We start from the raw sequence: 23,702 nt of genomic DNA on the forward strand, positions 1-23,702 counted from the left end.
TACTGTCACTTACAAGCTGTGTGACCTTAAGTGATTTAATTTAATCATCCTGTGACTAAGTTTTCTAATCTGTAAAATTGGAATAATGTGAGGATAAAATTATCATAAGGATTAGCAAGCTGAATTAACACGTGTAACGCTCATAGACGACTGCCTGGCACATAGTGAATACTCAGGAAATATTACTGGTTGTTGTGTAGCGAGGTGTATAATGAAACACTGGTACAATTTCAGATTTTGGGTTTTGAGGACCGGGCTTAGAGGGTCACCTTGGGGAGAATCTTGTAGAGTCCCACATCTACCCTCTGCCTCAATGAGATACGATCCTCCACTTTGATGAGATACTACCACTTGGAGAACTTGCTACATGTCAATCCCTGCTATGGAGAAAGTAGACTTTTATTCTAATGCAGTAGACTTGAAATCATTTGAATGTGAGAGAAGAGCTGGAGTCAGAAAGAGATAAAAAGAGGGCCTGAGACTATGCCTTAAATTGTTAATACATTTAAGGGATAGAAGAAAGAAAAGGAGAACCGTTAGAGAAGATAGAAAGAAATTGTTTCCTGGATCAAAAACAGTTCTAGACTGGACTGTGTCTCCCACCCCTTTAAATTCATGTGTTGAAGCTCTAGCCCTCAATGGGACTGTATTTGGAGATAAGACCTTTAAAGATGTAATTAAAGTTAAACGAGGTCATAAGAGTAGGGCCCTAATCCAATAAAGCCTGTGTTCTTATAAGAAGAGGAAGAGACTTCAAGGATGCCTGGAAAGGCCATGTGAGGACACAGCCAGGCAGGGGCCATCTGCAAGCCAAGAAGAGAGCCCTCAGGAGAAACCACACTTGCTAACACCTGGATCTTGGCTCTCCAACCTCCAGAATTGTAAGAAATAAATTTCTGTTGTTCTAGCCACCCAGTCTGTGGGATTTTGTTATGGCAGCCCTGGCAGACTAATACAGGATCCAAGAGAAGAGAGAGTTTGAAAAAGGTGGGAGTGATTGATTGTGAGAAGTGCTGCTGAAAACACAACAATAAAGTAAGCTGAGAACTTAAGTGTCTGTTGGATCAGGAAATAAGAAGTCATTGTTAATTTTGACAAGAACATTTTAATGGACTGATAGAGGCAGATTGCAGCGGATTGAAGACTAAAGAGCAGGATTCACATAGAAAATATGGCAATATTTCAAATCATCAAAATGACAATATGGCTGAGTAGGTGTTGTATAATGAATAAAGAACTTCATAATTAAATGCTTATTCACAACTTTTAGTCTGAACATCTTTTGCTGTAGGAGATCTTGCCAAATTGATTCCCTTCGTACTTCCCAGTCCAAATCTAAATTAGTCACTGCTATTACATATATGTTACCTTATCATTTTTAAATTGTAGTCTGTATCATAGTTACTTATACTTCTGCAGTTACTTAATTTTCTCTCTCACGAGGCAGTAAGCAATGTGAGAACAAGGATCATATTTGGTTTATTCCATTATCTATGGTTAGAACATAGTGGACATTTAATATGCATTAAATAAAACTAAAATTCATTCAACAATATGTCATTAAAATCTTTACATGTCAAATATATCATTTTACTGACTGGATTTTATGTATACATATAATTTACACCAGCCTTTCCTACTATAAATTATACTATCTGGAATTGTTTAGCCAGTTAAGGATTAAATTCTGCCATAAAATTTAACTTTTTTCTTTTTTCTCCAGAAAAACTGTTTTGACCCTGGGCTTTTTTTGCAAGTAGTTTTCTAATTTTCTAAATAATTTTTTGGCCTGTCATGGTAGCTCATGCCTACAATCCCAGCACTTTGTAAGGCAGAGGTGAGAGGATGGCTTGAGGCCAGGAGTTTGAGACCAGCCTGGACAACATAGTGAGACCTAACTCTATGTATTAAAAATACAAATAAAAACATTAGCAGGGCATGGTGGTGCATGTGAGCATGAGAGGTCGAGGCTGCAGTGAGCAGTGATTGCGCCACTGCACTCCAGCCTGTGCAACAGACTGAAACTCTGTCTCGAAAGAAAAAGAAAAAAAATTTTCATGGTAATTGCCTTATTCAAGTTTCCAGCTCTAGTTGTACATAGCATTCTCATTTTTAATCTGTGTTAAGTAATTATTTCATATTCTTAATTCTAACTTTGATGGCTTTTTTCCTTTAAAAAAACTTTATTGAAGTATAATTTACATATAATAAAATGCACCTATTAAGTTGTACAGTTTGATGAGCTTTCACAAATGCCACCACCATAAACAAGATATAGAACACTTCCATCACTCAGAGAAGTACACTCATGCCCCTTTGCAGACAATCACTTCTACCTCTGCCCAAGGCAACCACTGATATACTTTGTCAATTTAGATGAAGATCTCATATAAATTGAATCATATGGCACATATTCAGCAGAACATGGTGTCACAGGAATTCATCCATGTAGTTGTATGTATCAGTAGTTGATGCCTTTTTATTGCTGCATAGTATCTTTCCAATGAAACATGTTATTCTTTTCAAAGAATAAAAAAATTCTTTAGAAACAATTGCTTATCCATTCACAAGATGATAAATATTTAGGTTATCATCAGGTGCTTGAGTTTTCTATTGCTATTTTAACAAATAAACACAAACTTGATGGGATACAATGACACAAATTTATCATCTTATAGCTCTGGAGATAAAAAGTCCAAAATAAGTTTCATGGTACTAAAATCAAGATGTGGCAGGACTCCATTTCTTCTGGATGTTTAGAGGCAGTGTTTTCTTTCTTTTTCCAGCTTCTAGAGGTTCCCACATTCCTTGGCTCCTAGGCTCCTTTCATCTTCAAAGCCAACACATCTTTCTCATAGCTTCTTACCTCTGAGTTGACAATGTCTCTTTTTTGCTTGTAGGTAGCCTTGTGATTACATTGGGCTTACCCAGATCCAGATCATCTAGGATAATCTCTCTACCCAAGATCTTTAATGTAATCACACCTGCAAAGTCCCTTTTGGGAAGAAAGGTAATATATTCATAGTTTCTGGAGATTAGGCCTTTCCAGGCAAAGAGGTGGAAATCTTTGTGGGGCCATTTTTCTGCCTCCTACACAAGGTAAAGGATATTATGAGTGAAGCTGTGGTGAGCATGCATGAACAAGTCTCTTGCGAACATAGGTTTTTATTTCATTTAGTGGTGGACGTGCTGAGCTGGACAGTAAATATGTTTAGCTTTATGATAAACTGCCAAATAGTTTTCCAAAATGGTTGCTCCATGTTACATGCTCACTAACACTATTTGACATTTCATTGACTCCTTATCTTTTTCAATACTCAATATTGTCAAACTTTCAAATTTTAGCCATTTAGTGGGTAAGGAGTAGTGTCTCAACTGTGGTTTTAATTTGTATTTTCTTGATGACTAATATGTTGAGCATCTTTTCCCATGATAACTGATTACACATATATATTTTTGTGTGAAGTATGTGTTCAACATTTATGCCCATTTTCATTGTTTTTTGTTGTCTTGTTAAACTGTAAGAATGTGTGTGTGTGTGTGTGTGTGTGTGTGTGTGTGTAACAAGTGTTTTTTTAGATATATATTTTTTGAATATTGCCTCAAAGTCTTGGGCTTCTCTTTTTCTTAACTGAATATCTTTCTATGAGCAAAACTTTAAACATTTGGTGTAATTTTTCATTTTTTTCTATTATTGTGAGTATAGTGCGTAGCATACCATCATGATGATGATTTTTTCCTATCCTCCCACAATCTGTTTTGTATTTTAGCTTTTACATTTAGTCCTGTGATCCATTCTGAGTCAGTTTTTGTGTACGGCCTGATGTAAGGGTGAAGGCCCATTTCTTTTCCATAGTAATACCCAGTTGTTTCAGTACTATTTATTGAAATTACTGTATTTCTCTTATTGATATGCATTGGCAACTCTGTAGAAAATTAATTATATTATTGTACTTAGCATTTTAATAATATTTTAAATCCTTTTGTTAAGTATGTATTGCTTATATTTTCTCTTTATATGTTTCTTTTGACTGTCTTTCTAATACATACCTATTTAATAAACATGTCAAAATCAGCTGGATTTTTCACTATTTTTAAATCTTGGATTTATAAGTCAATTCTATAATTTTTCTCTCTTGCAATTATGCAAGGGATTATGGGAATGATTATAAACCTGTTATGAAAAATATTAGAATTTAATAAGAGAGAAATTGAAAGATAATATATAAAAGTCTATAATTGCCTATGTTCAAATAATCACCATCAGAATACAGAATATTAAAAAATGTATGTTGTTTAAAAAACAATGGAAAATGGTAAAATGGTTAGATATAAATTTTACAAGTATTGCATCAGACATAATTTAAAAAGCTATAAAGAAGTATAAACGAGGATTCAAATAACTGAAAAGCTATCCTATGCTTTTGAATAGGAAGATATAATTGCATCATTATGTCACTGTTCACTAAACTCATCTATATATTCAATGCAATCCTAATTAACAAACCCAGAGGATTTTGTTGTCATTTACATGCTTTTTCCCTTGTAGTTTTTAGATTTATATTTGATTTTTGTACCTATAGGAAACTAAACAAATTATATTAAATTCACCTTGAAAATAAATATGTAGAGGCTAGGACATTTTCTAATAATGGAGAAAATTAGAAAAATCTAATAATGGGGGCAGACAGTCATAGAATTTAAAAATATATTATCAAATAAAATAATTTTTAAAACCTTAGCACTAGAAATGAATACATATTTATAATGGCACCAGAAATAAGTTAGACCAAACAATAAAACAGAGTAAAGGAAAAAGAGAGACACACACGATTGGCTTTAGTTTATGGTAATGATGGAACTGTAAATTAGTAGGGAAGATAGGGATAATTCTATAAATCATATGAATAAAAGTAAAGATAAGTCATCATTCTTTAAAACAAGATAAATTTTTGATGGAACAAAGATTTAAAGCAAGCATAAAATTTCTAGAAAGAAAGCACTGTGTATTTATTTATAATACTGAAATGAGAAAGATCTTTCTAAATTAGACATGAAAACTAAACACCTTTACAAAGATTTGATAACATTGACTACATTAAAACAGACAAAAACTTACCATAAACAAAGTCAAAAGGCCCACAAGAAACTGGAAAAGAATTTTGCAATATATGCAACAGACACAAAACAAATTTTCAAAATTTTCAAAATGCATATATAAAATCTTGAAGAAAAATTTGCAAGAGCTATAAACAGTCAGTATAGAGAAAATATAATGAAATGTGCAATAAATGTCTGATGAGATATGGAACCCCACTCACAATTATATAAAATAATTAACTCTTTCACAAATTTATTGAGTATTTCTTCCATGTTGGGAAAACAGCCATTAACAAAATAAACCCAAATCTCAGTTCTAATGCTGCTTACATTCTAGTAAGCAAATAATAGACAATAAACAAGATAAATAAATACAATATAGTTTATTAGATGAGGACTGAGTGCTATGGAGAAAATAAAGCAGAGAAAGGAGAATGGAAGTTCTAAGGGGAGGGAGGAGTGCTGCAATTTTCTATATGATACCCAGGCATGACCTCCAATAAAGGTAACAATGGGGTACATTTCACAATTTCACACCTAATGGAAATGTGTGTGTGTGCTGCAAAATATATGTTCAAGAATGTTTATAGTATCATTATTTGTAACAGCAACACCTGGAAACAACCATATCTATCAAGTCTATCAATACTAGAATAAATAAATATTTTGGTATATTCACACAATGAAATCGCATGCAACAATAAATCTGAATGTGCTACAATTACAAGAGAACAATACGTTGGAATCTCAAGAACATATATGAAAGTGAGGAAAGTCATATTTCGGAGCCTTCACTGTGTGGCTCCATTTAGATCAAGGTTAAAACTAGGCAAAACTAAAAATAAGTTTAGAAGTTAGGATAGCAGTTACCTTTGAGTAGGAGAGAGAGTGTAATAATTACACTGTGCATGAGGATGTCTTTAGGATACTAAGAGTGTTCTATTTCTTGGCCTGAGTAATGGTCACTCAATTGTTTTCTCATGGGACGATTCATTGAGATGTGCAATTGCGATTTATGCACTTTTCTTTATGTCTGTTACATGTCAGTTTGAAAAAAAAATAAAAAGAGTGATTTAATTTTCTCTTTCTGGATGCCTAAGATTCTTTCATTATTCTTGATGTTTAAAAACTGAACCAGCCATTTTTATCTTTTCATTAACTTTTCCTGCTACTCAGTGAACACTTTGATCTGTATACTTGGGCCTTTCACAGGTCAGAGAAGCTTCTTCATGTTTTCCCTCTTTTCTTTAATAAGAAATATTACACTTCATTGGCTCTCTTGTCTCTGGTGTTCAATTTCTACCATATTCGTTCCTATTGTCTTTGTGTCTGAATATTTCTGCTGCACTTTAAGAGTAATTACCATTTGTCTTTCAAATTATTTATTTGATTTTCAGAATTATCAATTCACTTCTGAACTTTTTACTGCTAGTAATTTTCTTTCTGAAATTGCTTTTTAGTTTCCTAATATGGTAGTCATTGAGGCTGTTCACATGTTTTTAGTTTTGTTTTGTTTTGTTTTTTAGGTTGTAGAGAAGGTACTGTTCCCATTGAAATCAGTAACGGCCATGTGACCTGATTCGACTCATGAAATGTAAGTGGAAGATGAATGTAGACTTTATGTGCAGAGGCTTTAAGAGTTATGAGATAATTGTCATACTCTCGTTCATAATCTTTGTACCTCAGTGATTAGCAACACTCACTGTCATGGCTTCTTCATCATCCTGGGTCCTAGAGTGAAGTCCTAGAGCCCATTATCAACCCATGCTAAATATGTAGGATAAGCAAGAAATAAGATCTTCCTGCTTGAAGCCACTGATATTTTGGACTTTTTGTTACTGCAGCAACATCATGCCTATCCTGACTGATACATGGTATATAATCATTCCTAATATTTTCCTAATATTTGTAATTTATACAATTTCATTTGTTTGTTTACTATCATAATTATATAATTATACAATAGTTACTTATACAATTTTATCTGTTTACTGTCATAATTATTCCAAAAATTGTGACCAGTTTCTTCATATTAATTGCCATCATCTCTTTTCTTACAGCGTGGACTTTTTCATAGTCTCAATGGGATGTTTATCTAAAATGCATACATTCCTAAATGAAGAGTGCCCTTGTCTTCACTGTATATTGTGTTATTGTTAGAACTTTCAAACATGCTAAAGAAGCTGATAAGTCTAAGTTCACATCAATAATTACATTATTCAACAACCTGAGAGAAGTGAAGCCAGGTTGAGTGTAGTCCCAGTAGAGAGATGTTTTCTATGTTCTCTTTCTTTTGTGTTTAGTAAAGGTACTTCACCAGAGGTCAATTTTCTGTACCAATTTCTGTTTGGCTGGAGCAGATTCCAGCTGTGTCTGTGCTTGGTCTCCCACCTGATGCCACCACATCAAAGGGAAGCCCATATTACACTGGAAACAAGGCCCTGCTTCCCTGCTGAGTTTTGTGTTTTGTGACGTTCCCAAGCAAAATTCGAAATCTTCCTGTTTCAATTTTTGTAATGTGTATCATTAAAATAATACTCTCACATGTGAATAAATCAAATACTAAGATTAGCCTATCCTAATTTCTATACCTCCTACCCCCATACGTGTTTAAACCTGTAGTCCCACTCTCCAGGAGAAACCTCTTTTTTTTTATTGGTAATATAGGTGTTAATTTTTGATATTTTTAATATCTCAAATAAAGAAAAAGAAAGAAAGAAAGTAAAATTACTTGTTAAAAATCAGTTCAAATTAAAATTCACTATAATGGTTAAAACAGCTAACATGTATTGAATGATTATGCTCTAGGCACTGTGGAAAAACCTCTTTAACATGTTCCTGTTACCTCCAAAATACTAGATAATAAACTTACATCTCTGTAACTTTATTTAAACACTCCGGACAGGTATTGATTGATTGCCTACAATTTTTTTAAAAAGTTTTGCTAAGTAAACCTTTAACCCACTCCACTTCTCTTCTCAATGCTTAATAGAACCATTTCTTGCAATTCTTCAATTTGTTGTTAGATTATATTTAATATTTCAAATATTAGTGTGCTTACATTTGCTTCCACATTCCCTCTACCATTTCACTTCCCACTGTCTGTGTGCTATTCTTTTACATTTATACCAGTTTTTTTTGGTTAATATATTCATTTAGTTCTGCATCACCATCTAAGTTCTTACACAATTTTTCCATGAGTTAACCAAAGTTGAAAACCATTACGACATTATTACATTATTATGTTATTATGAATGTGTGCTGGTTACATTTCCTTTCGTATATGAATAATACCAAAACTCCTAAGCCACCTAGAAGAGAATGTTAGGAGCACCAAGGCAAAGACAAATTCTCTTATATTCCAACAATTGCTTCAAATCAATTGTTTACATGCAACTTATTTTTTTCCTGAAATTTCATATTGCCATTCCTTTTCTTTTGAATCACATGCTTTATCATACCTCCACTTTGTGCCATCCCCTCAATCACAGAGTCCCCTGCATGATATCTTCTTTTCTCTTCATTGGCTTCCCTCCCAGAGCCCAGCATTCTCCTATGGCACTCTAAAACGACCACCTTAAAGCCGGATGGACCACTGTCATCCTGAGATTCCCCTGTATTGCTCTGCTTCTTTGTCCCTGTGTCTTTGTATTTCTTGGTCTTCTCCCTCATTTTGCTAGAGTACACCCTCAGATAACTTTACCAAAATGTAAAGAGATTCGGGAGGTGTGGCTGCTTGTTTCATGATGTGGGACCTAGTTATCTTCTCCTCAACATCCTTTCTCCTTTTCTTACTAAGGAACAGAATTTGATTTTTTTTTTTCTTGGGCTGCAAAGTGCCCAAATAAAGATGCAACCTTGCAGCTAGGTATGTTCAATAATTTAAGGAGGCATTGTTGGGTGCAATTTCAGGGAACACTTCTTTGATGGGTTAAAATACCTGGTAAGCACTCCATAGACAAGCATGCCCCTACTTCTAACTGGAATGCAGACGTGATAAGAGGAACTCCAACAGCCATTTGAAACATGAGGTAATCTTGTGAACAGAAGCCATGCACTAAGGATAACAAAGAGAGGAGCCAGGCCCTAAGAAGTCTGGGAAGCTGATGACATCATAAAACTGCTATACTAGCCCTGTTACACTATATTGTACTTAAAACATAGCTGCCACTTACTTAAAAATATATTTTACAAGGGAAAGAGAAAAATTTATATGCAATTTAAGTAACTGTTATTTCTGATCTCAGTTGCTAGCTACTGAATGCAATTACATATTGAAAATGGTGATAAAATTTCTGGGCTCTTAAACATCAAAAAATACCTCAATTCTGCCCTCATGCTAACTATTTTTGTGATTACAGATTTCAAGGTTGAAAATTACTTTCCCTCTATGCTGTAGCCATTTCTCTGTTCTCTTCTAGCATTAATTGTTGCTGTCGAGAATCTGATGCAAGTTTGATTTTCATTTCTTTGTGGGAAATTGTTTTCTCCTCTTTAAAAAGTTTGGAATCTTTAAGATTTTCTTGATGTTTTAAAACTTTACAAGAATGTATCCAGATGTGGGTTTCGTTTTCATTTCCATTCTTTGTACAAGGCACTCAGTAATATACGACCTAAAGATTTATGTTCTGTAACTCAAAGAAAGTGTCTCCTATTATTTCTTGGATAATGTTCGCCCTTCCATTTTCTTTGTTCTGTATGTCTACTTGTCAGTTACTGGACCTCTGCACTTGTTTATTAGGTTCCATCCTTTCCTTTATGTTTTTGATTCTACTTTTATTTCTTTACATTCTGGAAGATTTCCTGTATATTTGAAGCAGCTTTCTTGACTTTTTAAAATTTTAGCAATTCTCTTTTTAATGTCTAACATCCCATTAAATGTTAGTAATTCTATTTTTAATGTCTAACATCCCATTCTTACATTATAGTAGTTACTTTTCATAGCATCCTATCTTAATTTTATGGAACACAATATCTTCTCAAATATCTGTGTGAATATTAATTAAAGGTATTATATTTTGGTGTTTATTGACATTAAAATATTTTCTACTCCTTGTTTACTCTGGGAAAACTTTTAAAAATCTTTGTTCTTAAATTTTTATATATGTCTTATAATCTTTGATGATTTTTACACGAATAGGACTAGGTAACCACGTGGGTATTTTCTGCATCTGTAAGGAGCTAATTTTCTCACTATGTCTCACCTTGTTTCTCCATGAGCAGAAGGTCCAGCCAGGAGGGTGGGAAGTGTGAGAATGGTATAGTGCACGCAGACATTGGGTCCCCAAATTACAGAATGAGGAGGGTCACCAACACCACACTTAAAAGACTTGATTTTTCTGGATGGCTACTTTAATTTTGGTATGGAAGAGATTTGACTCATGGTAAATATCAGACTGTCTTCACTCCACAACACGGATATGGGAGGGAGAAAAGGGTGCCAATAGGAGTAGTTATTTTGTTGCTCTCTTCTATCATACTCACTAACTATGGGGCAGAGTCTCTCTGGGATTCACTGCATCAGTTGGTTTCCCTCTTCTCTGCAGCCATCTTTGTACAATTGACCATTCCTTTCCTGTCTTTCAAAAATGTATTGAAAAATCTCATCCATCAAAATTTACTACCCAATCAGTTTTCTTCTTTTCTTCTCTATTATATATTTAATCCTTTTGTTTTTCATTCTTTTATTTTTGTGAACAGAAGTACATCATGTTGCCCTAGATTCTATATTCAAAGGAGCTGATTCATGCCAGTAAAACAGAATCCAAGTGGTATGTTCCCTGAGTTCTTTCTGTATCTCCAGCCCTCTCTTTTGGTCAATAAGCTTTCATTCTATGTGACACAGACTCAACAAATAGTTATTGATTTACTTCATTAAAATATTCAGAGTTAGACAAAGTTTTCGGCATGCCTCTACCCCAGGGTTTAATGTTGTCAGTCTGTCTGTCTCCCCATCTCTTGAATCAGTATTCTTTTTTGGCTTTACTCTTATGATGCCACTAGCAGCTCCAGGCTTACATCAATGCAGGATTAAGTCTAGAAGAAGAGTTCCCCAGAATACAAGCAAATTTGCCATTCTTAGTTTATTTGCATTCCTGTTACAATCTCTGTGGTGAGAGGATTATAATGTTCTCTGCAGTATAAAGGAACTGCATCTCTAAACCATTTCTATCAGCCAAAGGGATTCAATGCTCTGAGTGCCCACTCTAATACCAGGGGTGGTGTTGCTGACATTGCTAGTTTCATTGAAAATTCATTCTCCCTTTCTTCCCTTATAAATATAACTCTTGGATTTTAGTTGGCTTCATGGCTTCATTTCCCATCCTTCCTTAGAGCTAGATGTATGCTCATGGGTGTATTATTTTGATCCATAGCATGTAAGAAGTGTATATGCCATTTCAGGGAGGATGGCAGTGCAACAAAAGTGATGGAATTTTGATCTGGAATACCAAAGGGCTTATTGCCAGTCCTGGTCACTCATCTATCTTAATTTACATGAAAAATAAATTTCAATCTGTTTCAGCTGTTATCTTGGGTTTTCTGTAATTCACAGCTAATTATTTTTTTCTTTTTTCTTTTTCTTTCTTTTTTCTTTTTTTTTTTTTAGATGGTGTCTCGCTCTGTCACCCAGGCTGGAGTGCAGTGGTACCTTCTTGGCTCACTGCAACCTCCACCTCCTGGGTTCAAGTGATTCTCCTGCCTCAGCCTCCTGAGTAGCTGGGACTACAGGCATGTGCCACCACGCCTGACTAATTTTTTCTATTTTTAGTAGAGATGGGGTTTCACCGTGTTAGCCAGGATGTTCTCAATCTCCTGAACTCGTGATCCGCCCACCTCATCCTCCCAAAGTGCTGGGATTACAGGCGTGAGCCACCGCTCCTGGTCAGCTAACTTTTTTTTCAAGTAGAGATACTGTCAGTTCCATCTCAACCACATGGACATTGACAACTGACATAATTAGCTCACGAAAAAAAAAAATAGTAATAATCAGAAGTTCTAAATGTACTCCAAATGTTTGGGGCATTATTACTGGCCAAGTAAATGCAAAAGATGAGGATGCAATATACACAGATAAGGTCACAAATGGAGGATTCCTGGATGAACTTTTGTTGAAGCAGTTACCTTACAGTAGGAGGTATTGTGTGTTAGTCCTCACCGCCAGCATTTTTTTGACCCCATCTACATGCACTTAGTAGATAGTCCTTGATGTGTCTGCCTTAAGGAAACCATCCTTCTCTAGTTTTTAGTGCATATGTTGGCTTTCACCTATTTTAATACTGTTTGTCATTATAAATTGAATTTTAGCCCCTACCCTCACCCTTACCTGGAAGTCTATAAAACATTTTCTCATAAACTTTTGTAACACAATTCAATTATTAAAACCAATTATACTGTTTAAAATAAAAGCCTTTAGAAGGCTTGTCAGCTACTTTGATATATATCATATTTAAAGGAACTTCTTCCCTTTTTAGTTTCTTTAGAGTATAATTAGTTTCTCTAGAAAATGTCTGGATTTTTGGAAAAGGAAACTACAATTAATTTTTTTTAAAACCAATATCCCTATCCAGACAACCAAAATGAAAACTCCTCTCTAGCATTTGGATTTATCTTTTTAAAAGAAATGTGTTTCTTATATTATGATAAATCCTGAAATTTAAAATGTCCATTAAATAAGAAACACCTTATGAAGACAAACCTGAAAATAGACTGGGACTAGCAATTAAGAAAGCAGGAATTGACACCCAGCTATCTTGCTCACCACTATGTGACCATGAAAGAGTTATTGGTGGACTTGAGATGTTTCACAGCCACGTCCCTTTTTGTCATGGTAAGAATCAAGCTGTCCCAGTCATCTATCCCTATCCGTGTGCAAACCTCCATATTCCTCTGAGTTTCTTTTCTTCAAACCTCCAATCTTAGCTCTCTCTTCCACTTTAACTTTTTCCTATGAGATCTCTGATCTAAAGAAAATAAATTCTCCTACATGCTCAGTTTCCCCAAGCCTCTCTCTTCACCTTCTTCCTTCAGCCCTCCTCCACCCCTTCCATAACAATGCCACCTCCCTGCACACGTGCACATCTTCTCCCTCATTCCAAGTTTGTTCTTTGAGCTCATGGATACATGATTGGCTCCCTGATTCTCTCCTACCCACCCAGTCCCTCTATTAGGACTATTCTTTGTCCTTCCATCTTAACACTCAAGGTCCATAACTCTAATAGATATGCAATTGAAACTCATATTTTCAATGCAGGCCCTCCTTTGTTTCATAGAACTTACCTGGAACACATCATCTTTCAAAAACTCTAAATATCTTCCTATGCTAAAAACTAAAGAAGGAAATTATATCTGCATAAATTCATGCCATTAAATCTTTAAGGTTTCAAACTGCAAATAAGTTTGAATCCTTTCCAATGAATCTATCCCCTTCCTCCCAGTGTGTATATCACATCATAATAATTCAAGTCTTGAATCCCATGACTCCTCCATCTCCTTTAGGAGAAAATGAAGGCTGCAGTATAGGAACTAGACTTATTCTCTGCCCTTGACCCTACAGAGTCAGTTGCATCTGCAAACAACTTCCTCCTCTTCGTCCATCATAGAAGTAGTATCCACATTTCCACGTAAGGTGGCATCCTGGGTCCTGCTTCTTCCTGAATCCTTGAAGATTTGAATATATCAGTTATTATCCCCTCTAGTATTTCCAATATCTCCTTATATCCTGGTCTTTCTTGTGATTGTCTAAACATATTCAAGGCTCACCTATATTAGAACAAATAAACAAACTTCTCCTGACCCTGTGTGCTTATCTCTCTACTGTCTTTTCTCTCCTTCCACTGATACACTAATTTCTTTGAAGTGATGCCTGCACTCACTGTTGCCGCCTTCTTATTCTCCAGGTATCTTTAACTCACTGATCCATCCTTTCACCAAAACTGTTCTCACCAGGGTCATCAGTGGTCTCTGCTGTTAAATCCAGTTATTTATTTTTTTTTCTTTCTTGACTTCTGCAGCATTTGAAATGATAAATTATTTCCTCCTTCTTGAGACTCTGCTCCTCATGCCACTTGATACCATAATTTCACATTTTCTTATAATTCTCTTGCATCTATTGCTCAGATTTTTATAAAGACATCTCTCCTTTAATAGTTATACCTCTGATTTTGTAGCCCATGTTCCTGTCTTTATTTTTTTCTCTTCTAACTCTGAACTGTTGGTTTCTAACCATTTCAGGAATCCATTAAAAGCCAAGAATATGTCAGGAAAACAAACATATGTGATGATTTTTTTATAAAATGTCAGAGTTTTTATCAACTTTCTAAAAGTCTTCCATGGATCCCACTTCATGCATTCTCTCACATGTTCACATTCCCTGTCATGTTTTCAGGAACCACTCATATGCTATTTATTCACTATCACTGTCTCCAGCCATGACTGCCACCTTCCTACCTAGCTCTATTTGAATGTTCTCCCACATAGCTCGTCCTCGTTCTGTCCAAAATGAAACCCACCAGCTTCCTTCCTGTAAACTTGATTCCACCCTTACGACTGGAGCAAAAACTCCATAAGCCAAAGGATCTTCTCTATCTTTTATGTCTTTACTTCTAAACCCAGAGGAGCGCCTGGCACATGATAGGCACCCAATAAATTTTGGCTGAATGGAGGAATCAATGTGTCTTAGCTCAATAGATAGCTCTATTATTTAAGCACTTGACAAACTATAAACCTGAGTCTGCTTCCTTCCCCACAAGCCTGAGTCATTTTGTCTCTAGTTTCTTAAGTTCACTTTTTTTTTTCTGTAGTGCTATAATGGCCTCCTCACTCCCTCTGTCCTTACATCCTCTATTCCATGTGTTTTCAATATTGCTAGAGTAATCTTTCTAGAGTGCAAATATGTTTATGCCCCTTTCTTCTTAATTTTTTTCCAGAAATTCTGCATGGCTTTTCAGAAAGTTCAAATAGCATAGAACAGAGGTCTATAATGGTCTTGCTTGTGCTTTCCTTCCATCTATCCCTTGCTGCTTTCCCCTGATACAGATTCTATGCCTGACCTTGCCACAAGAACAACTAATCTTGCTTTCCTGAACCTGTCTTGTTCTCTTCAACTTCAGGCCATTGCTCATGGCTCTCTGCTTGGAATATTAAATGTGTCCGCCTCTCTCCAAGTCACTGCTCAGGACTCCTGCCATATGCCCTTTCCATGGCTGCTCCCTTCTCACTCTCCAGTCTGGAATAAAACTCTTTTCTAAATGCTTTCATGGTACCCTGTTCTCACCCTTATCCTAACACCTGTCACATTGTGATTTAATTGTTTATGGCAGTCACCTCACCTGATTCTCTACTAAAGGCTAACTTTCATCATTGCAAAAACTGTCTTATTTATGTTTGCTTCCCTTGTGTTTAGTACAGTGCTCAATAAATAGACACGGAGCCAATTAATCCCATCGCTATCAGCTTTTGTTCTCTATATGGTCCGGTTCTCCCAGATGAAATTTTCAATATTTTGGATTCATTTCATGCATTTCACTGTCACTTTCCAAATAAGCCTGGGTCATGGAAGATTTCCCTAATGCAGGAAATGAATAGAATAAATGTGTACATAGATTGTATGCCGTGGTAATTAAATCATTAGTGCTGAACAGTGGTATTGAGACTGGAGCATGTTAACATATGTTTTTATTCATTAGAAGCAATAAGTAAAGATGAAACCTAGTAATTATAGACTGTGAATACAAAGGAGTTCTCTGGGTGGTCTATCATAAGTCTTGAAGAAAGGAAAGCAAAAGGCAAACACCAGTATTTCTCCAGACTTCCTTAGCAAATATGATACTGGCATTCTGATACTCTGTGCTAATTTTAAGAATCAAACTGGTAGTATTTTTGTATGTGTAATGCCATTGTTTCAGGCATTCATTTTCAGTTTTGTTCACTTTTTTTTGTTCTCTCTTCAACTTCCCATCCTTATCTTTCTCTGCCTCCCAAGCCCTCCCCCTCACGACTCTGATATCCTCAGCCCAAGCGCTCACAGCCTCCCTCTACCATTCTCCTCCTCCAAGTTCTTTACCTCCTCCTGTCTTACCTTGTCCCACTCCACCAAATAATGCCAGATTCATGTGGTGAAATGTTTGTGTTACCAAATGTATTACATTTTTATTTCCACTGTTTGTTTTTTTTTAAATCATATATTGTGAACATATTTGTTATAAAATATCAATATTACTGGTGGTATTTTAGTAATGCATTAAAAAATTGGGTGATTTAAGATATACACCTCTATAGTGATGGAAATATTCTTGCCTCTATCCAGGGCATTCCTAAGTAATCAATAAATTAATATATTTAAAATAAAAGGAATTTGTTTGATACATCAGTTCCTTGTGGGTAAGTGGAAAATTTGTTATCAAACGACATACGTAAATGAGCAGTAAAGGAGCTCTGTTATATGTGGCATGGAAAAGCACTAGTAAGATATTCTCAGACTGCTCATAGACAAGAAAATCAAGAACAATATTTTCAATAGACATGAATAGGTGAGTTCAACGAACAACCTAAACCTAACCTAATCTTAACCATCCTCAACCTAATCCCACCAAAGAGATGAGAGAATGTTTTTCTTTTAAGTCACTGAAATATGGCTTCCTCTTTACAGCTGGAAAGACTATAACTATGTTTGCATATTCCAGTGGCTTCGAGGATCATCAGAGCTCAGGGCATGGAAAGACTGCAATGTAAACTCACTCATTCATTGCATAGGCAGTTTTCTTCTGGCCTCTTCAGTGACTTAACAAGTTCTGGCTCAATACAGTATAAATCACACATGACACCTCTTCTGAGACAGCAGTATCAGGTGTGAGTTGGGGTCCTCTAGTAGAGTTGTAAAGGGATCAGAAAGTTCTGAGCTGTGGGCCTGAACAGCTGGTTGGTGGTGGCAACAGCAGCTGTCATGAAGAAATGCCTTTCCCCCAATGTGCTTCCCTGGCTCTCCTGTCCCCTTTCTTGTCAATAGCCAGTCAACATGTATTGATTGTGCAGAGGCTAAGGGCTTATTCTTCTGTGCATGCTTATCCATCTGCCCCTTTTCTTTTGGCTTACATTGTCTCTCCAGGGTTTTATTTTGTTTTTATAAACATCTTTCTATCTGCCTGCTTCTTCTCACCATATGGCAATTCTGATATGTATTTTTTGTTGGGGGGAATGTGAGACAGAAGGAGAGGAGAAAGAGTCCCTAACAACACAAGATTTAGAATACTTATCATAAGAGTGGATGGTTTAATAAATACTGCTTTCTTCAGCATGATTTTAATCAGATGACTACTAAACTTCTTTTCAAAAAAAAAGACTAATATTCATAAAAACAAATGTTGTCTACAACCAATGTTTCTAACTCTTACCTGTCAACATTAGACAATTCAATCTGACTTCTTGCCTTCCTACTCCAATAAAACCATTTTTTCCAAGTCACAAATGACTTCCACATAAATCTAAAGAGCATTTTTCAATTCTCATCTTACTACACTCCTCAGCAGCATTCCAGACTCTTAATCATGCCTCTTTCTTGAAATATCACGTGGCTCTTATGACTTCATACTCTCCTAGATTTCCCCCTCTCTTTGTAACCACATCTCAAGCTCTTTCAACAGCTCCATTGTTTCATTTAAGCTGTAAACATTGGGATTGTCCAGAACTTTTCCCTCACTCATCTTATCATCTCTTCTCTACTTACTACTATCTGTACTTACTCTTCTCTACTTACTACTACCTCATCCAACTTTGTGGCATTAAATACAATCTATTTGCTTACAGTTCCCAAAGTTCTATCTCTAACTAAGATTTCTCTTTTTGAGCACCAGACTTTATATCTGACTGCCTTCTTGACTGCTCTACTTGGATTTAATCTGAATGAAGCTAAACTCTCAAAGAACCCCAACAACCTTTTCCTCACTCAGCCTGCTCATCTTGGGAACCCATCTCCTCACAGTTGTTCACATCAGAAATATAGGAGTCACTCTTGATTTATTTTCCTTCCATCAATTTCTAAATGAAATGCTTCTGTAGAAAATTGCTTTTACCTTCCAACTACATCACTAATTCACTTTTTTTGTTTTTTAACATTTTCCCTGTCACCGCTATAGTCTAAATACTGTCTTCTCCAGCATGGAATATTTCAGAAGTTTCCTAAGTCGTCTTTTCCATTCATGCCCTCCCAATTATTTTTTTTAATCTAGAAAACATCTATAATGAGCAGTAAAATGTTAAACCCTGAGGATGTCACTGTCTGGCTTATAATTCTTCAGAACCTTCCTACTGAACTTGTAATAAACTTCACTCTCCTAAACTTGCCTCCATGTTCCTCAGTGATCCAGACCTGCCGATTTCTTTGTTTTTATCTTGTGGCCCACACTCACTCAGCCCCAGCAGACTCCCCTGGCTATTCTCCCCATATGCTGTTTCCTCCATCTAGAAAGCTGTGCCCTCTATTCTTCATATCCAGGCTTCTTCTCATCCTCCAAGTGTCATCTTACATGTCAGTTTCCCAGAAGAACCTTCCTGACAATCCAATCTAAATTAGTTTGTCACTCACCTTTTTGTAGTCTCTATCATACTATTTTTCTTCATAGAGCCTATCACAGCTTGTGTTGTGTGTGTGTGTTTTAACAACCACACATGTCTAGTTTAAACAGTCATACAACTAGTGCCTAACAATTTACGTGGCAGCGAAAATGCTGCAGTCCCCACCATCATAATCATTAAAGATAGACTAGTGTTGTATTAACACGGATGATCTGTATACAGTATGGACAATAAGCATGCATAAGGTCACAGTAGAAGTTTGGATAACTGGTATCAGTCATAGGGTAGTTTGAGAATATAGTGAAAGCAAAGCAGAGAGGGAAAGTATAGAAGAAAAGGGAGGACTATGGTATGTGGGCAACCCTGGGGATCAAAGTGAAAATAAAGAAGATGCAGTAATTCACAGAAAATCAAACCCAAGGAATAAAAAACTAGATTCAGGCATGTTTTAATATACTGGAACATCTAGCCCAGTGTTTCAGGATGGATGTAAAACATCACTTCTGAAATAATGCCAACAATTCTGTTCAGTCTGTTTAATTAGCTTGTTAAATTCACGATATTCAGTTTAGATCATGGTAGATCTAAATTAGGGAATGCTCTGGAGGAAATACCATGAGTTGAAAAAAATCTCCTCTCTCCTGATAGGGATCTGCCTTAAGCTACTGAAGGTGCCAGGGCCCTGGAGGAATCCTCAATGTCTGTGGTAAATGTTTCGGTGGGCTAGGTAATACCCAATTCATATAGCCAAGCAGTTTGAAGATTGAGCCCAGCTCAGGTGGTGGACCCTACTTAGCCTAAACTTGTAATGGTCATCCCTCAAGATTTCACATTGAAGCCATGGAAATTGGCTAAAGGAGTAAGCATGTGACCTTATTTGGGCCAATCAAATGAAAGTAAAAAATTTGGAGGGATTCTGGGAAATGTTTCCTTATTAGCAGTTGAGAAACACAGGAAGGTATAATATTCTTCCCTCAGACTTTGTTGCATGCAGATGTGAGGTCAGAGACTGGTTACCACTTTAGGATAAAACCAGCACTCAGAGGAAGGGAGAGCCAAGGGAATTTCAGGGGAAAGAGACTCATCACCAGAAAGAGCAACCCTAAATCAGGCCTTCTTTAGACTCTCAGTTAGGAGGGCAGTGAATATTTTTGTAGGTTTAGCCAATTTAAGTTTGACGTTCTCCTATTTGCTATAGAAAGCATCTTAACTAATAAAATGTCCAAGAAATACATGTATGAGGAGGGAAAAAAAAAACACCAGGTAGGCTGTTTATAAAGGCAAATTTTGGAAGGTGGCAGGATGATCTGTTATCTCCCCACACTCCAGCCTTTGGGTTACAGTGGGGAGAAAGCTGCTGATAGTTTCCTGACCTCACTGGTTCAAGCTGTAGCAGAACTAGAATGGGCCAGGTAGTGACTATATTTCTCTCATGTTTGCTGAACAAGGACACTTTATTACCCTAACTTTCAGTGGACATTTTTAATTTTTCTAAAAGAAGAAAAAAATGCAAAAAAACCCACACATGTAAGTTTAACCACATTCAATAAGCATAGCACTTGTCATCAGATGATTGTAAGACATTGTAAAAATAATTCTAATGGCACTTATAATAAAAACAACAATAGAAATATCAACAATAATAGTAAACATTTAGATAGGCCTTACTATGTGCCGGACACCATTCTAAACACTCTCAATGTAATTAACTCCTTCAGTCTGCATATGAAGTAGGTATTACCAGTTTGTTAAAATTACTGATAAGGAAACCAAGACAGAGGAAGTTAAATGACTTGTCCACGGTCATACCTCCATTAAATGGAAGACCCTGTTTTCAAAATGACCATTGTATTCTAGAAGCTAGGGCTTTTAAGCAGTAACCAAGATTGTCAGTCATTGTGGGTATATAAATAGAAAGAGATGATGAAAAATTGATTTTGTGCTCAGGGAGCTCACAGTTTGGTGTGCTCTCTGTAAGCTCAGCCAGTAATAAGAATACTTGCTTCCATTTTTAAATACAGTAGAGACAATGTCTATATTATGTTATATCATACATTCCACAATATTTTTGTGACTGTTGGCAATTTCTTATTGATTGCTTTGTCAATATAATTTTATATTTATGCCACCCAAAACCACTTCTCATTTTCAAACTACATTAAAATAATAAAGGACATAAACTGCAATAAGCATTTCTAGGGGATTAAATATTTTCATCACTAATTTTACCCTATAAGAGCATGATACATGCTTCATTTAAAGTTTTAATTACCAACAAAATCTTATGTTTTATTATTCCAGAGACATATGAAGCAGTTTTATCACATGAGCCTTAAGTATCCTCTAAGAATCAGCAAAAAAGAGATTGTTTCCTAGGTCTACATAACTGATGGCTATATTATTATCCATAAAATCATTCAAGAAAACTTCATGTGTGGCAGTATGAGCATGTAGACTGTAAAATATCAAAAATTACTCTATTTCATATGCTAACAGGAATAGTCCATCATGCAGTTTAACCTGGGACATTAGATAGCTTTAAGTCTTTTAAGCCTAAGTGAAGAAAGGCATTGCATTAAAACTCCCCTCAAGCCTCCCTGCAGACACTTTGAACATACCATCCCTGTCATCTTGGAGAGTAGATGTAACTAGGTAACTTCCCCAGCTGCAGTAAACATTTATATATGTTGGTCTTCTGCTCCCAGAGGCTTCCCAAGCTGCTCTGTCAAATCTGTTAATGTGGAAGAATCAAGCCAAGAAGAAAGACTGCAAAGAACTGAGTGCAAATCAAAAATGAAGCAGAGAAGACAGGAGTAAGAACGAAAATGATTAAAGATCAATTGATCGTCATACATAGAAATGGAATTGTTCACATACAAGGACTTAGAAACAAAATTCTCCTTAAATGAGGAAAAATATACAAGTCATTTTGATAGGTCCTAGGAGAAGGGATTTTACATATTGATACTGCTTCTTTACAATACCATGCTTCCTTCCAGTGGTTAATATAACAGAAGTGCATATCTTGAAAGCTCAAAGAAGTTCTTGGAAGTATAGGAACATTTAACGCTAAGTTGTGATTTGTGGCGAGTACATTTGAAAAATATTAATTGATATTAATTTATTTGAAAAGTCTTGGTTTGGCTTAACAGCCTCTCTGCACAATTAGCATATCCAGTTTCTCTTACAAGGGAACAAACTTTGGAATCTTATCTGATTCCCCTCGTCTGACCCCTATACTCACCATCACTGGAAACTTTTTTTTGTTTTTTTTTTTTTTGAGACAGAGTCTCGCTCTGTCACCCAGGCTTCAGTGACATGATCTCAGCCCACTGCAACCTCCACCTCCCTGGTTCAATCAATTCCCCTGCCTCAGCCTCCCGATTAGCTGGGATTACAGGCACGTGCCACCACACCTGGCTAATTTTGTTGTATTTTTAGTAGAGACAGGTTTCACTATGTTGGCCAGACTGGTCTGAAACTCCTGACCTCAGACAATCCACCTGCCTTGGCCTCCCAAAATGCTGGGATTACAGGCGTGAGCCACCATGCCCAGCCCACTGGGAATATTTAAGTCCTATTTGTTGCAGTAAGAGCTTGTGTGTCAGACACAGAAGCTATCATTTTTTATCCTATCACTGTTAACTATGTGATAGTGCATAGGTTTAATTTCAAGAAGCATCAGTTTTATTACTTAAAAAATGCCTACCTCTTTATTTTCAGAGTGTTCCAGAGTCCCTGAAATAAATAGGTGAGAGCACATGGACATTTGGTAAGCCCTCAAAACACATTGTTATCATTTCTTCCTTCCCTCTTTTTCTTTTTTTCCCCAAATTCTGGAAACAATCCTGGATTTCATGTTTTAGAGTGGCAAACAGATGAAGAAAATGACATATTTTATAGTATTTTCCATTCAAGCATTGCAATTATTACTTTATATGTACTCTCATTTAATCACTGATGTGGTCTCGCTGTGTCCCCACCCAAATCTCATCATTGTGGCTCCCATAATCCCTACGTGTCATGGGAGGGACCTGGTGGGAGGTAATTGAATCATAGGGGCGGGTTTATCCTGTGCTGCTCTTGTGACAGTGAAGAAGTCTCACAAGATCTGATGCTTTTATAAAGGGCAGTTCCCCTGCACATGCTCTCTTGCCTGCTGCCTTTGCTCCTCCTTTGCTTTCCACCATGATTGTGAGGCCTCCCCAGCCAAGTGAACTATGAGTCCAGTAAACCTCTTTTTCTTTATAAATTATCCAGTCTTGAGTATTTCTTCATAGCAGTATGAAAATGGACTAATACAATCACTAAAATAGCCAGTAATGTAGTTATTGGTATCCCTATGTTACATACCAGAAAGTGAGGTTCAAAACATTCTACTAACTTGTCCTAGACCATTTATTTATCTAAAAATATTTGCTGAGTGTTTGCCATGTTCTAATCATTAAGCAGGGGCCATAGACACAAAGATGACTTTACTAAGGTTTCTGTCCTCTACAAGATCTCACTGTGGTAAAGGACGGGGGAACAGACAGTATTAATACACTGTATTAGAGGCCAAGGCCAGAAGAGGCAAAGCCCTCTGACTCATTTTGCTACACCAGCCTGACTCTTGTGTTCAATAATATTCTATCAATCTAACTCTTAGCTATTCATAGTGTAAGTGGGATCTTGCTTTTTCCCCTGGGACTCACCCCCTCTTCAGAGGTATATCTCTTTTTAGGGTAGTATATCTTCCCAGAGCACAATGCCACACCTTTACCTTCGCTACAACACATCACCTGGTTTCATCTTTTCCCCTAGATCCATCTACCCAATGTAAATATGCATCTAAAACTTTCTATGTATCAGGCTTTATGCGATGCTCTAAAGATAAAATATATACATGAGAATAAGTTTTTAATTGCTGTGCTTGACAAGTTTAGAATATTAAAAGGGAAGACTGTCATTGAACAGATAAGAAGAGGAAAATATCATAGATACTGAAATAGAGGTATGTAAGAGATGAAGTCACACAGACAAATAAAAAAGCT

The sequence above is a fragment of the Homo sapiens genome, chromosome 1 (genome assembly GCF_000001405.40).
Source record: "Homo sapiens chromosome 1, GRCh38.p14 Primary Assembly".
In the NCBI taxonomy this organism is placed as follows: Eukaryota; Metazoa; Chordata; class Mammalia; order Primates; family Hominidae; genus Homo; species Homo sapiens.